Source organism: Homo sapiens, chromosome 2 (assembly GCF_000001405.40).
Source record: "Homo sapiens chromosome 2, GRCh38.p14 Primary Assembly".
Lineage (NCBI taxonomy): Eukaryota > Metazoa > Chordata > Mammalia > Primates > Hominidae > Homo > Homo sapiens.
This window is the reverse complement of record NC_000002.12, coordinates 224,763,471-224,777,178: the sequence shown is the minus strand read 5'-3', so window position 1 is coordinate 224,777,178 and position 13,708 is coordinate 224,763,471. Positions and strand designations below refer to the sequence as shown.

General features: G+C 43.2%; 1 protein-coding gene across 21 annotated transcripts in view; it reads left to right on the top strand.

Moving 5' to 3' along the window:
• DOCK10 (dedicator of cytokinesis 10) overlaps window positions 1–12,089 on the top strand; it is a 277,379-nt gene extending 265,290 nt beyond the window's left edge. For 11 of the 21 annotated variants that reach the window (XM_047444929.1, XM_047444921.1, XM_047444918.1 and 8 more), the window contains 6 exons: window positions 2,064–2,274; window positions 3,832–4,022; window positions 6,534–6,634; window positions 6,830–6,968; window positions 8,232–8,307; window positions 11,342–12,089. In XM_047444929.1, coding sequence (XP_047300885.1) covers window positions 2,064–2,274; window positions 3,832–4,022; window positions 6,534–6,634; window positions 6,830–6,968; window positions 8,232–8,307; window positions 11,342–11,403 — 780 coding nt within the window. In that variant the 3' untranslated portion in view covers window positions 11,404–12,089. The remainder of the gene's footprint in view (window positions 1–2,063; window positions 2,275–3,831; window positions 4,023–6,533; window positions 6,635–6,829; window positions 6,969–8,231; window positions 8,308–11,341) is intronic. The other 10 variants (XM_047444930.1, XM_047444922.1, NM_014689.3 and 7 more) reach the window with 1 other exon arrangement.

Genomic DNA, 13,708 nt, shown 5'->3' with positions numbered 1-13,708 from the left:
TCTTGGCTCCAGAAAGCAAATACTTACCTCTTCTTTTAGATTACTCAGCATCTTCTTACACACTGTCGTTCAGTTAGCCAACCTCTATCAAATGCCTGCTGAATGCCAAGCCCAGAACTGAGAGATGAGGCGCACAGGGTCTTTTCCTTCTGGAGCTCACAGTTCACATGGGGCTAAGAAGAGAAGGACCTGTGCAAACAGCCAATTAAATAGATTACAATAAAGTGTCACCAGAGAGTCAAAGTCCAAGTTGTACAAGGAAAGCTCAGGGCAGGGACCTTCCTTAACAGCTCATTCTTAGTTGGGCAGCATTACATAGAAGGGATGATGTTTGAGTTAGTTTTCTGGAAGCAAAGGGCATGCTGAGAAGCCCAGCACATGCAATGATGGGGAGGAATGAAAGAGGGAGATATGTTTAGAGAATGGCAGGTCTTTGAAACACAGTTTGGATAGAAGAGTGTGGCAGAAGATGCAGCTGGAAAAGGTGGTTTGTGCCCAATGGCATACAGTTCTATTGGGCTACAGAAGAGTTCTTTTTTTTTTTTTCTGTCCTCTTTTACAAGCTCAAGTTTGGAGGCATCTGGGCATGAAATCCTTGAGTCTGGGCAGAAATTTCTGTGAATGTGTTCATCATTCTCCTTCTTAGCTATAGTCACCTTCCCCAGGAAGGCAGGCAGCTGGAACTACTTTATTAGTGGCTCTCCTAGGTAGAAAGTATACACAGAGTTCCTGGGGCAGCGTGGGGGGATGAGAAAATGCCAAATTTGGTATCAGAACAACTTAAGAATTCATTCCACCATCCCACCACTTATCAGCTGATGATCTTAGAGAAATTAGCTGGTCACTCGAAACCTCTATTTTTGATGTAAAATGGTTACAATTATACCCGCCTTACAGTGTAATTAGTAGTAGCATTACAAAATAAATTCAGGAGGTCCCTCAAATCTCTGGGACTGGATAGGCAGTGGATGGGTAGACAGATGGAGAAAATTGGAAGAAGTTTTAAAATTCTTTGAGGTTTCATTAGAAAAGCTGAGAACTCCAGCTCTTCCAACTCCAAGGGAGAGCAAGTGCAATTTCCTGGATTTTCTTAGTACCCCCAGCCTGTCTTCCTTGCTATTTGTCAAACTCACTCACCAAAGCAGTTTGTTTAAAAAAAAAAAAAAATGCATGGGATGACTTGTTACAGATAAGAGAAGGAACCTGACCTTAAAACTATAAAATTTTGCAATCATGTAATAGGCTTATCAGCTAATCTGCTAAATTAAACAAGGAATCTCCCTCCTCGGCACAAGCCCAAAGCCAGTGGCCTCAGTCTAGATACATGGGTAAAATCATAGAGGGACCAAAAGATATTTTTTAAAAGTTTTCATTTGAATTACTCTCAAGAAGCTTGCATTCTAGGGCTGGGTGCAGTGGCCCTTGGCTCTAATCCCAGCACTTTGGGAGGCCAAGAGGACAGATCTCTTGAGGCCAGGAGTTTGAGACCAGCCTGGCCAACAGAGCATAACCCTCTCTCTACTAAAACTACAAAAATTAGCTAGGTGTGGTGGCACATGCCTGTAATCTCAGCTACTAGAGAAGCTGAGGCAGGAAAATCACTTGAACCCAGGAGGGGGAGGTTGCAGTGAGCCGAGATCGTGCCACTGCACTCCAGCCTAGGAGACAGAGCAAGACCCTGTCTCAAAAAATAATAATAATAATATAAATAAAATGAAAAATAAAAGAAGTTTGCATTCCAGACAAAGGCGATTGAACATTCATTACAGAGAAGAGAGAAAATAAAAGACTAAATAACATGCCACAGCCAGGCACATCTGGAAGAGCCTCACCTACTTGGTATGCTGGCTCTAATTCCACCCCTACAGACCTGGCTGCTCAGCTGCAGTCCAGCCTTTACTCTCTCTGTGATCCTGCCCAGCTCTGAAATGATGTGACTGCCCATTTTTCTCCAAGGGGAGAGGCACAGCCTCCTCTGGATGCAAGCTGAGGGAATGGGAGCTTCCCGCTTTCAGAGCGCTCCAGGGCACACCACTCACTTTGCCCATAATCTGTTAACACAGGTAAACCCCAAGGATTTGGACCCCAAATATGCCTACATCCAGGTGACCTATGTGACGCCGTTCTTTGAGGAAAAGGAAATCGAAGACCGGAAGACAGATTTCGAAATGCACCACAACATCAACCGCTTTGTCTTCGAGACACCCTTCACGCTGTCGGGCAAGAAGCACGGTGGGGTGGCGGAGCAGTGCAAGCGGCGGACGATCCTGACAAGTAGGTGCAGGTAGCCGGGCCACACATGTGGCACCTGTTCCAGCACAGGCCCCTTTATAGGGCTGGATCAGTAGGAATCAAGAGTTATTTCAGTCCTGCAGAGAAGTACCCAACATGTGCTAACTGGGAAATGTTTGCCAAGAAGAGATTTCCATCTCTTTATTCTCCATTAACAGAAGTCAACCAGAGGAGAAATTGTCAAAAGAGTTGCTTTGCATACCTATTCCCTTAAGGTTGTAAGTGTGAAGGGTGATGGGGTCAGTGCCTTGGGAAAGGCACAAGGCACTCTGAACTTTCCTCTCTGAGTCTACCTTCAATTGTTTCAGGGTTAACAGCTCTTATCGTGTGCTTTGGGGAAAGATTCTAAACCACTCTGGGATTCATATTCTTCATCTGTAAAACGAATGCAGATGTCGGTCTCCAATATCCCTCGATGTGCTCTCTAGATCTATGCTGTGAGCTAGTCATCCTTTCATTTCCTCAACACACTTTTAGTGAGGCCCTGCTAGGGGCTGGGCACTGTTCTGGGTACTGGTAATGCAAATGAAACATGATTCTTGCCCTCAAGGTGCTCACAGTCTGGTAGGAGAAAGAGCCAAGTAAGGCAAGAATTTCAGATGAGCGGAGCAGGAGAAATGAAACAAGAGCACCCAGTGGGGGCTCCTAAGGCTGGCTGCAGGGGAGGTGAGCAAGGGCATTCTGGAGGAAATGATCAGTAACCCGCTTTGAGAGCTGGGCCATCCTGGAATAGGCTACAGCCTATCAGTAGCACTGATGTCTAAACTGTGACAAGCGTCTGCCTTCAGTAAATGTATCCAAAACTTTTGAAATAAAAAAGCCACAACAAAGCTATATCAATATATACTACTTGGTATATATTTAGGCATTCTGTATTGTGGGTTAGTGTAGTTTTTATTTGAATTACAAGTTGCTGTGGAAGCTTTAATCTTTTCAGTGTTTAGAAATTCTAAAGGCTGGCCGGGTGCGGTGGCTCACGCCTGTAATCCCAGCACATGGGAGGCAGAGGCGGGCGGATCATGAGGTCAAGAGATCAAGACCATCCTGGCCAACATGGTGAAACCCCGTCTCTACTAAAAATACAAAAATTAGCTGAGCATGGTGGCGCACACCTGTAGTCCCAGCTACTCGAGAGGCTGAGGCAGGAGAATCACTTGAACCCAGAAGGCGGAGACTGCAGTGAGCCGAGATCGCGCCACTGCACTCCAGCCTGGCTACAGAGCGAGACTCATCTCAAAAAAAAAAAAAGATAGAAAGAAAAAAGAAAAAAATTCTAAAGGCCTAAAACAGCCCTGAGAATGAGGGCCTGTTAGCAGTGAAGGCAGAAGGGCACACAGGTCAAAGGAGCTTGGGCACAAGCTAAGAGGTATTAGAGAGGATGGCACCTAGCAGAAAAAGTAACTCCCATGCATGAAAAGCATGCAGAATGGAAGGTGCCATGTGCCGTGAAATGATACATGATCCTCTGGTCCTTCAGGGAAACCCTTGACTCTTCACTAATCCTCAACCTTGAAATCCCTTTGTATGGCTTTTGTACAGCGAGTCACCTGTTCCCCTACGTGAAGAAGAGAATACAAGTAATTAGCCAATCGAGCACAGAACTGAATCCAATTGAAGTGGCAATTGACGAGATGTCCAAGAAGGTTTCTGAGCTTAATCAGCTTTGCACAATGGAAGAAGTGGACATGATCAGACTGCAGCTCAAACTGCAAGGAAGTGTCAGCGTGAAGGTGAGTAAGCATTGCCCAGGGCTGAGATGCACATGGCCAATGAAACCAGGTGTAAAATGCCCTGAGAACTTTGTTTACAAAGAATATAAGAAACATTTTCCCTTTTGTGAGAATAGAACACCTTTATCTGGGTCTTTAAAATGGCTTCTAGTTGTCAATGTGCATTAATGTTACTCAACACCTGTAGATAGGCCTTTCTTAAGTTTAGCTGAAATAAAATGTATTCTTCCTCCACCTTGCTATCCCATCTTCTATGGATAACTGTGTTCTATATCTGTATACTAACAAATGAATTAACTAATGAAGAAACACCACATTCTTGTACATATCTGTCATTAAGAGCCTTAAAAAATTGTTTTGAAACAAATCCAAAAAAGAATGATTACTAGTTCATAAAAGGTGCATGCATGTTTATCTGTCTGGCAGAGTTGTGACAGGAAGCAGATGGCATGCTCAGTGAGTGATTGAGGAGGATAGAGTAAATAAACTGTTCCCAAAAGTGTGTGCAGCATTTGGGAAAGCCAGAAAGGGCTGGCACAGGGGCTGGCAGCACTCAGGCGGTGTGACCACCCTAGACCTGAAGATGCAAGGAGAGGAGGGTTAGTGGAAGCAGACAGGGGAGCTGAGAGGTCCATCTGATGACAGACAAGTAGACAGGAGTGACTTCAGCTAGCGATAGGGAGGCTTCTGCAAGGAGGACGCCCTGGGGCTTAGTACTCTGACCAGGGCCAGGCAGGTGAGGTGAGTAAGGCACTCACCTTGGGCACAAAATTAAAGGGAGCTCCAAGCAACTCAGGAATAAGGCATTAATTTTTATTTATTATATTAATAAATTGATGCTAAGTATTTGTAAGGAATAAAGTATTAAATTTTAAAATAAAGGAAGATCAGTAGTGGCACCCTGCACAGCTATATTGGACCCTAAAAGCCAAAGAAGTCCAGATGCAGTGGCTCATGCCTGTAATCCCAACACTTTGGGAGGCCGAGATGGATGGATCACTTGAAGTCAAGAGTTCGAGACCAGCCTGGCCAACAAGGTGAAACCCCACCTCTACTAAAAATACAAAAATTAGCCGGGCATGGTGGCACACGCCTGTAATCCCAGCTAGTTGGGAGGCTGAGGCAGGATAATTGCTTGAACCTGGGAGGTGGAGGTTGCAGTGAGCTGAGATCATGCCATTGCACTCCAGCATCAGTGACAGAGCAAGACTCCATCTCAAAAAATAAAAAAAAAAAAAAGCCAAAGAAAAAATTAATGCTACTGATCCTGACACTGACCACACTCTCCCGTTCCCTACCTCCCTTGTCTGTGTCCCCCATGGGCTGAGAAGGCCAGAAAGCAAGAGAGCCATTGTCCTATCCCATACAAGATGACTTCCCTAGGCACATAGCTGAGTGAAGGGAAGTGGAGATTTGATCTGGAGAAGCAAAAGATGGTACACCCAGTACCAGTGACTGCATCTGCCACACTGGCCATGCCTGCTGGTCACAGGCCCCTGAAGTCAGCTTCCTTCTTCTTTTACCTTTTTCCTTCCCAAGCCTGACAGCCACATTAAAGGCTTCTATGCACTAAGGGATATGAACTCCTGCACAAGTGAGGCCATCCATGGGCATGAGCATGAATTGAACCCAGCACTGTGCATTCATTCAGCAAATCTGATAAATGCCTCCTTGAGCCAGAATCTAAGCCAGACCATCAAATGGAACCCAGTGAAACACTGATTCTAGGGCAGTGCCCACACCACTACCACTGTGGATTATCCCTTCATAATAGTATGTGTTTATTTGAGTGTTAATAGAAAAGAAAAACTAGCACTTCAAACATTTGATTTCACAAATGTTAAATTTAAATAAATATATTGGAATTAATAGAAGTGAGTCTAGTTTTAAAAGCTGTTAAGAAAACAGCAGATTCCGTGGGTGGTTCATGCCTGTAATCCCAGCACTTCGGGAGGCCAAGACAGATGGATTGCTTGAGGCCAAGAGTTCCAGACTAGCCGGGACAATGTAGTGAGACCGCCCCCCTTCCCCCGTCTCTACAAAAACTTTCTTTAAAAAATTAGCCAGGCATGGTAGTAAACACCTGTGGTCCCAGCTACTTGAGAGGCTGAGGCGAGAGGATTACTTGAGCCCAATAGTTTGAAGCTGCAGTGATCATGCCACTGCACTCTAGCCTGGGCAACAGAGTGAGACCCTGTCTCTAACAAAGAAAAAAAGAAAGAAAAAAATAGTAGTTCAAGCAACGTACAGATATGACAAAAAAAAAAAATGTGAAGGGGTTGGCAAAGGACTGAAATTTGGGAAGTTTGTTAGTGAAAGGTGGAGCTCAGACTCATGCTCTATTGACAAGTTGGAGGACAGCAGCTAAGTCAGGTATACAAATGAGTGGACTAGAAGGCAGGGTGTGAGATGGGGGTACCACACCATTGGTGCACAGTTGCTCCTCTTCCAGCGGTGGAAAAGACTCCATGCAGAAGGTAGATCATCCTTCACCAATTTTCTTCTCAACAGGTTAATGCTGGGCCAATGGCCTATGCACGAGCTTTTCTTGAAGAAACCAATGCAAAGAAGTACCCTGACAACCAAGTAAAGCTTTTGAAGGAGATCTTCAGGTAAGCTTCTCGCTGTTGGGATGTTCTTCCTTGAACTTCCTGAGACAGGGAGTCCTCAATCCCCCAAGAATCCATCACACCAAAACTCACTGAGGTGGCAGAGTCCATCAGCAGCCTGACTCTGAACTCACAGTCACTGAGCTCAATGCCACTTCCGAGGGCTGGTTTTTAATTTGTTTAATGCTGTCGCTAAAGGCAATTTGCAGATGCATGTGGGCAGGCCCTTGACGTGAATGAGCGCCTCATCAAAGAGGACCAGCTGGAGTACCAGGAAGAACTGAGGTCCCACTACAAGGACATGCTCAGCGAACTCTCCACAGTCATGAATGAGCAGGTGAGCGCTCCTTGGTGCACACGCGCTATCAGTGGACAGAAAGTCCCTTTCGCTCCCAATGCCAGAAGGACAGGAAAGAGGCCCTTTTCTTGCTGCAGAAATCACTGCATCAGCACCATGTTGCTGATCTGTTCTCTCTCCCGTGCACACCACCTCGTGCCCCAAAGCAGAGATCAGGCTGGGGGAAACTCTGTAGAAAAAGATTATGAGAACCTAGATACTTTCCACAGTCCAAATGAACCCTGGGTTTTCTAGACTATGTGAGTCCCATTAAATGCTGAGGAACACTGGGTGGCATTCCCATGAGGGTTTGCTGCCACCCTCCGCCATCCCTAGTTGAGGACCTCACAACCCTGAGGCCATGATGTGGAGTCCACAGTTGAGGGGGTCTCTACACTATACTCACGATGAACCCTAAGACTAGTCATGGCTGTTTACCACCAAGACTGCCTTTACGGAGGCTGGGCCTCCTGCAGATGTGCAGAATTCAGATAAAACTCAACCACCCACCCCACAAGCAAGTCATCCGTGACGTCTGGGATGTGTACAGCATGTTCTGCAAGGCTGCACACAAAATGTGGGCATTCAGTCATCTCAGTACTTTTTGGGTGGCTAAAAATCAACTGGTTGAAAGCCAAGTGTTGCTTCCTGGCCTACTTCCTAGAATCCATACCCCCACACTCTACCTGGACATCTCATCACCCGTGCTCCCCTCCAGGAGTTAGATGTGTTCTCTACAGAAAAACTGAGGAGCAGAACTTGAATTAGTCTCCCAGTAGTGCTTCATACATGGTAGCCACCCACTGAATATGCATTTCCTTTGTTTTCCTTAAATGGCCTGGCACTGTTAATACGACTCACAAACCATGAAGTGTGTTGTATGAATCTGTTTTTTCTAATTGCATTTCCCATCTTGCTTCTTTTCGGTTTTTCCATCTTCTTCCATCCTGATTTTTAACTCTCCATTGTAGCTAGAGAAAGAAATGGTTGACCGAGTTATATTGGAGAAAATGAATTGCCGTAGATAGGATTCCTCGTGGAGGTAGTATTGGTTTAGGCTATTTGAGGGGTGACAGGAATTAAGTACTCAGGAGAGATGACTTGATAGAATGGGGAAAATCATAAATCTGGGAGTGAAATAAAAAGAACAAATGATGGATCTGAAAGTTCGGGAAGGTGGTGAAGGAATGCTTGTCTCCAACTGTAAATCACATCTGACCTAGAAACTTTGGACAAAAATGCTTTTCTCTTTTTTCCTGGCAGCTCTGTCGAGGTCCGTGTTTATACAGCTTCTGTTCCTCTGTGTCTAGTATTTCCCTCAGTACTGTAAGCAAAAGTGGTATGTTTTTCTTTCTTTATGTCTACTCTGTCCTCTGTGGCCTTCTGGTGTACCCCTCTCTTCCTAGCCATTCAGTCTCTCTAGTCACCTCCCTAGTAGCTAGTGCTCTCTAAGTTTTTATTTAATTAGAACAACTCCATTTCCATTTCAAGGTAGGTCAATGGGGGGAAAAGCCTCATGATTTAAACTGAAGTTAACAACACAGCTTTTAAAATGAAAACTCATACTCCAACTTCTAAAGTATATTTGAGCTGATTTGTTTCCAAAACAAAGATATGCTGTACCTAAAACTGCTAAAACAAAAATATAAAGACAAGGACTAGGTGATTAAGGGGAGAGAAAAATCATCTCTTTTCCAGGAAACCTTTGCTAAAAGAAGCAAAACTTGACTCTATGCCTCATGGAAACTGACACAAAGAAAAGAAACTGATGGATTGCACAGGCCTTGTTATAGAAATAGATCTATAAAAAGATCTGTCCACAGGAAATATACACCTTCTCCTGGTTCTGAACTTCAATGGGGATTTGTCACCTAGGTCTCCATCTATAGGAATACCTTCACATACCTATCTATTCATGCACATATTCTGAAAACAGGTACATACAAAATTACAACAAAGGAAAAAAATTCTATTGAACACTTAAAAATAGAAACAGGCCAGGCACGGTGGCTCATGCTGTAATCCCAACAATTTGGGAGGCTGAGGCTGGTGGATCACCTGAGGTCAGGAGTGTGAGACCAGCTTGGCCAACATGGTGAAACCCCGTCACTACTAAAAATACAAAAAAAAATTAGCCTGTGTGGTGGCACACTCCTACAATCCCAGCTACTCGGGAGGCTGAAGCAGGAGAATCGCTTGAACTCAGGAGGCAGAGGTTGCAGTAAACCAAGATCACACCACTGCACTCCAGCCTGGGAGACAAGAGCAAAACTGTGTCTTAAAAAAAAAAAAAGAAACAATTAGAATGGATAGCTACACATCAAAATATAAAAAGGAAATAGAAAAATAGAATTAATTATGTGTAAGCAAACCCAGATTTGGCTGCTGTCTGCTCAATAGCCGAACACTAGAAGTGAGAGTTGATGGGAGGAAAAGCAGGTTTATTCAGAGAGCCAGCAAACATGAAGATGGTGATCCAGCATCCTAAAGTACCATCTTAACTCAGTACACATTGTAGGCTCTTTTTATGTTAAGGGCAGGGAGAAAAGAAGGGGGTTGAAATCAAGAAGTGTCTGATGACCACAGATATCTGGGCATGAGCAAAGGTCTGAGGAGGTTGCAAACTTCTTTGTCCTGGTCAGGTCACAATGCTCCTATAAATCTTTAAAAAAACATAGTCTTTAAAAAAACATAGAAGTTGTCTACATACTTCTTTAATCCCAGGGTTAGTTTTAAAAACTACATGAGGCCGGGTGCAGTGGCTCACACCTGTAATCCTAGCACTTTGGGAGGCCGAGGTGGGCAGATTGCCTGAGGTCAGGAGTTCGAGACCAGCCTGGCCAACATGGTGAAGTCCCATCTCTACTAAAAATACAAAAATTAGCTGGCTGTAATGGCAGGTGCCTGTAATCCCAGCTATTTGGGAGGCTGAGGCAGGAGAGTTGCTTGAATCCAGGAGGCGGAGGTTGCAGTGAGCTGATATCATGCCACTGCACTCCAACCTGGGTGACAAAGTGAGATTCCGTCTAAAAAAAAAACTACATGATTGCTGTTTTTTCAGATTATATCAGTGCTCCAAAGTGATCCCAGCCTACATTCAGGAATGGGTAAAGGCCCCATGATTAAAACTAAAAAATGTAGTTATGTTCGTCCTTCTGCTGTTTCAGCTACATATGCAATTCACTCCAAAAGTGTCTAGAAAAGTATTAGCTAGAGGAGTATTTTGAAGACATCTAGTTAATGAAGGAACCTTCAGTATAAGGAACGAGACAAGACAAGATAAAGTGGATGCTACTGTGTAAAATGGAGATGTTGAGGTAAAGTAGTTTGAGTTGTCACTGACCAGCAGGCAATAATTGCTTTTATAGGTGCCAAAATTCCATACTGTTTATAATAAATAGCAAAAAACATAAAAGCCTTCTTTGAAGCCAAAGTAATGCATATAAGCATTCAGTTTAAGCATCAGTATAAGATGCCCATTTGGAGTCTGTTTCAACATTCAGTAAGAATAACAGCATAGTGAAGTCAACTGTGATGATGGGTATCCAATACAAAATGCAGAGAAAGGAATGGACCCAATCTGGTGTGATACCAAGCATAGGTATACTGCACCTGGAGTCTACTCTTTGAACACATCATCAGCCAGATTATTCAGAGCTTTGTGATATTGATCATAAGGAGAATTTATTGGTAGTATAGGATGCTCTCAGCTGAGTGCTCTTTGGGGCACTTACAGAAGTAGCGATTCTATCTTGGAAGAGTAGAGATGAAGGTCATGGCACAGTGGGATAATGTGTGAAGTTAGTGGGAAAATCTTCACAATTCTTTGTACAGAAATCTCTTCTGTACAAAAATATATTTTAAAAGTGTCTGGAGTTTCTGTTGTTATTATGCTTACACGTCATTGTTTGAATCAATCTGATAAAGTATTTTTTAGGCACACTAACATTATTTTCAAGATTAAAATCAGGTCAAGACTTTTTTACTATATTTCCTTTTATGCAAACATTTAAATAAAATTTCTAATGTTTCCCTTTTTTGGCAGATGCTGACAATATAAATTATAAACTTTTAGAATAGAATAAAATCCTGGAATTACTCAGATATATTTGTAAGTTTCATCCAAACATTTATAAATTTATGTCAGATAGCAGAAGAGGATTGTGAAAATATTTTAACTTTCACCAAAAGTTAAAGCTAGCACGTGGTCTTGGGGGAAAATTCTTTAGATCCACTTTAATATGTGTCTTTTTATAATTTGAATAAATTACCCTGTGGGGAATGAAAACCTCTATTCTGGGTTTTAATTTTGTGTTTGGGATATTAACATTAACCTCTGCATTCTGTTGTGTTGTGTTTTTCCCTGTTTTAAGATTACGGGCAGGGACGACCTGTCAAAGCGCGGAGTGGACCAAACCTGCACTCGAGTAATTAGCAAAGCAACTCCGGCCCTACCCACGGTCTCCATCTCATCTAGTGCTGAAGTCTGAGGGCTCTGCAGCATCAGACCCACCTCTAAGAGAACTTTCTGAATTTGCAGCTAATCTCGGGGAAGAGAAAGATAGGTTTAATTTATTTGAAGTTTTCATGGTGTTAATATTTTTGTTTACCTCGCTAGCTTCAGAATTTTGCCAACCTCTGAATTTGCACATTTTGTATAATTTTTTTTTCTTTGAGCAGTGTTGATCAAGCCAGGTTGAATATTTGCCATGAAATTCCAGTGAATGTGTAGCTCAAATGCAAACCCTAAGTTTGCTGTCAGTTATTGTATGGTCAGTACCCCAGTCCTAGTACACATATTTTAAAGGTTAAAGTGAATGTTTTTGTAACATTTAAGCATATTTCAGATGTAAATAAAAGATTGTAAAATATACGGTTTTTACCAAATTTAAAAGATCCTTTTTAGTTAATACTATGACAGTACTAAAAATATATGAATAACATTTCAGATACCATTATATTAAAATATTTGTGTATGTGTACAAAAGCGTTGATAAATACTAATCTTTAAAGTTTGTGGAGTTCCTTTATTTGTAATATATGTGCTCTTAAAAGCAATGGGATGTGAAATTATGAAAGTATTTTATTGTTCATAGAAATAAAAAACACAGTTACTTTGCATTTGGTTTCCTGTTGAAGAGTGGGTGAGTTACTGAGAAAAATGGTTCATTGAATATCTTCTGAATGCAAATCTATACTCAATACTTAGGATGCCTTGCCAAGAAACCAACAAAGGACTCAAATCTCAGCTAAGAAGTTCCTCCAAAGATGAACTGGGTAGATCAGAGGTTTCCAAATGTAGGAGAGACTTAGAATGACTTGGGGAAAATCTAATGAATCCGAATCTTGAGGTCTGTGGAGGTTCTCAGAGAGATCACAAATGTTCCATTTCTCTGCTCTAATCTTGTGGTAGGATTGCAGTTTCCTGCCTCTTTTGAAGGCAAGCATGACCATGTGACTTGCTATAACCACTGAAATGTAGGCAGAAGTAACATGTGTTACTTTCAGGCAGAGGCTTCAAAGCCAGTAAGTAGTTCTTCCCAGCCTCTTCCCCTGATGTACTTATCTTTGATGTACCTGAAGCCCTGATTTACTTACCTTTGACATATTGTTTCAGCCTCAGTACCCAGGAAACTACAATGAGCAAGACACACACACACACACTCCCTGCTAACGCTATTGGTCATATAGTCTTGAGTGAGAAATACCATTTTGCTGTGTTACGATTCAGGATTGTTTGCTACCACCATGTTATGAGCTTATCAGAGCAATGACCGATAGGTGCTGACCTACGTTTGGGAACCACTGACATTTTCCACTCTCTGGCCCACTTCCCTCCCCTAGTGAATACTGGCTGCCATGGACCCGAACTGAGCTGCTTCTAGGTGCAGAAGGCAAGCTAGAGAATCTAATTTCATACTCACCTTCAGCAGCCATTCCAAAGCCCCAGACATAAAAAAGGAGACTTCAGCTGAGCTCATCTTTCTGCTATGCAAGGCCATTGGCCATGTCAGTACATGATGGTGAGGAGGGAGGTAAGGGGTTGGAATACGTATTTACATTTTGAGTACACAGAAGGGATAGAAAGATATTTTGGGTGAGAACTCGGATCCCTCAAGACACTTTTTTTTTTTTTGAGACAGAGTCTCACTCTGTTGCCCAGGCTGGAGTGCAGTGCGCGATCTCGGCTCCCTGCAGCCTCCACCTCCCGGGTTCAAGTGATTCTCCTGTCTCAGCCTCCCGAGTAGCTGGGATTACTGGCACGCACCACCATGCCTGGCTAATTTTTGTATTTTTAGTAGAGACGGGGTTTCACCATGTTGGCCAGGATGGTCTCGATCTCCTGACCTCGTGATCTGCCTGCCTCAGCCTCCCAAAGTGCTGGGATTACAGGCATGAGCCACCACGCCTGGCCTCAAGACACATTTAACTATTCTTTTCTCAAATAGAGCTCACTTCTTTATAGAAAAGATTGCCCTTTGATGAGCTCTGGCCCAAAGCATTATTCCCAGCTTCATTCTGCCTCCAGTTCTCTTGGTTCCTGACTGTCTGGGTCAGCATCTCAGGTCTTTTCTTTTAATTTCCCCATGTGTAGCTTTAGGCCACCTTAGACATTACTATTCCAGGCACCCAGGAAGATGCTGCCTCCAATATCATCTCCCACCTAACTTCCACCTGTAGGCTCAAGTCCTCTTGCCCATGCCAATCCACCCATCTCCCATGCCCCCAGGACACGGTTG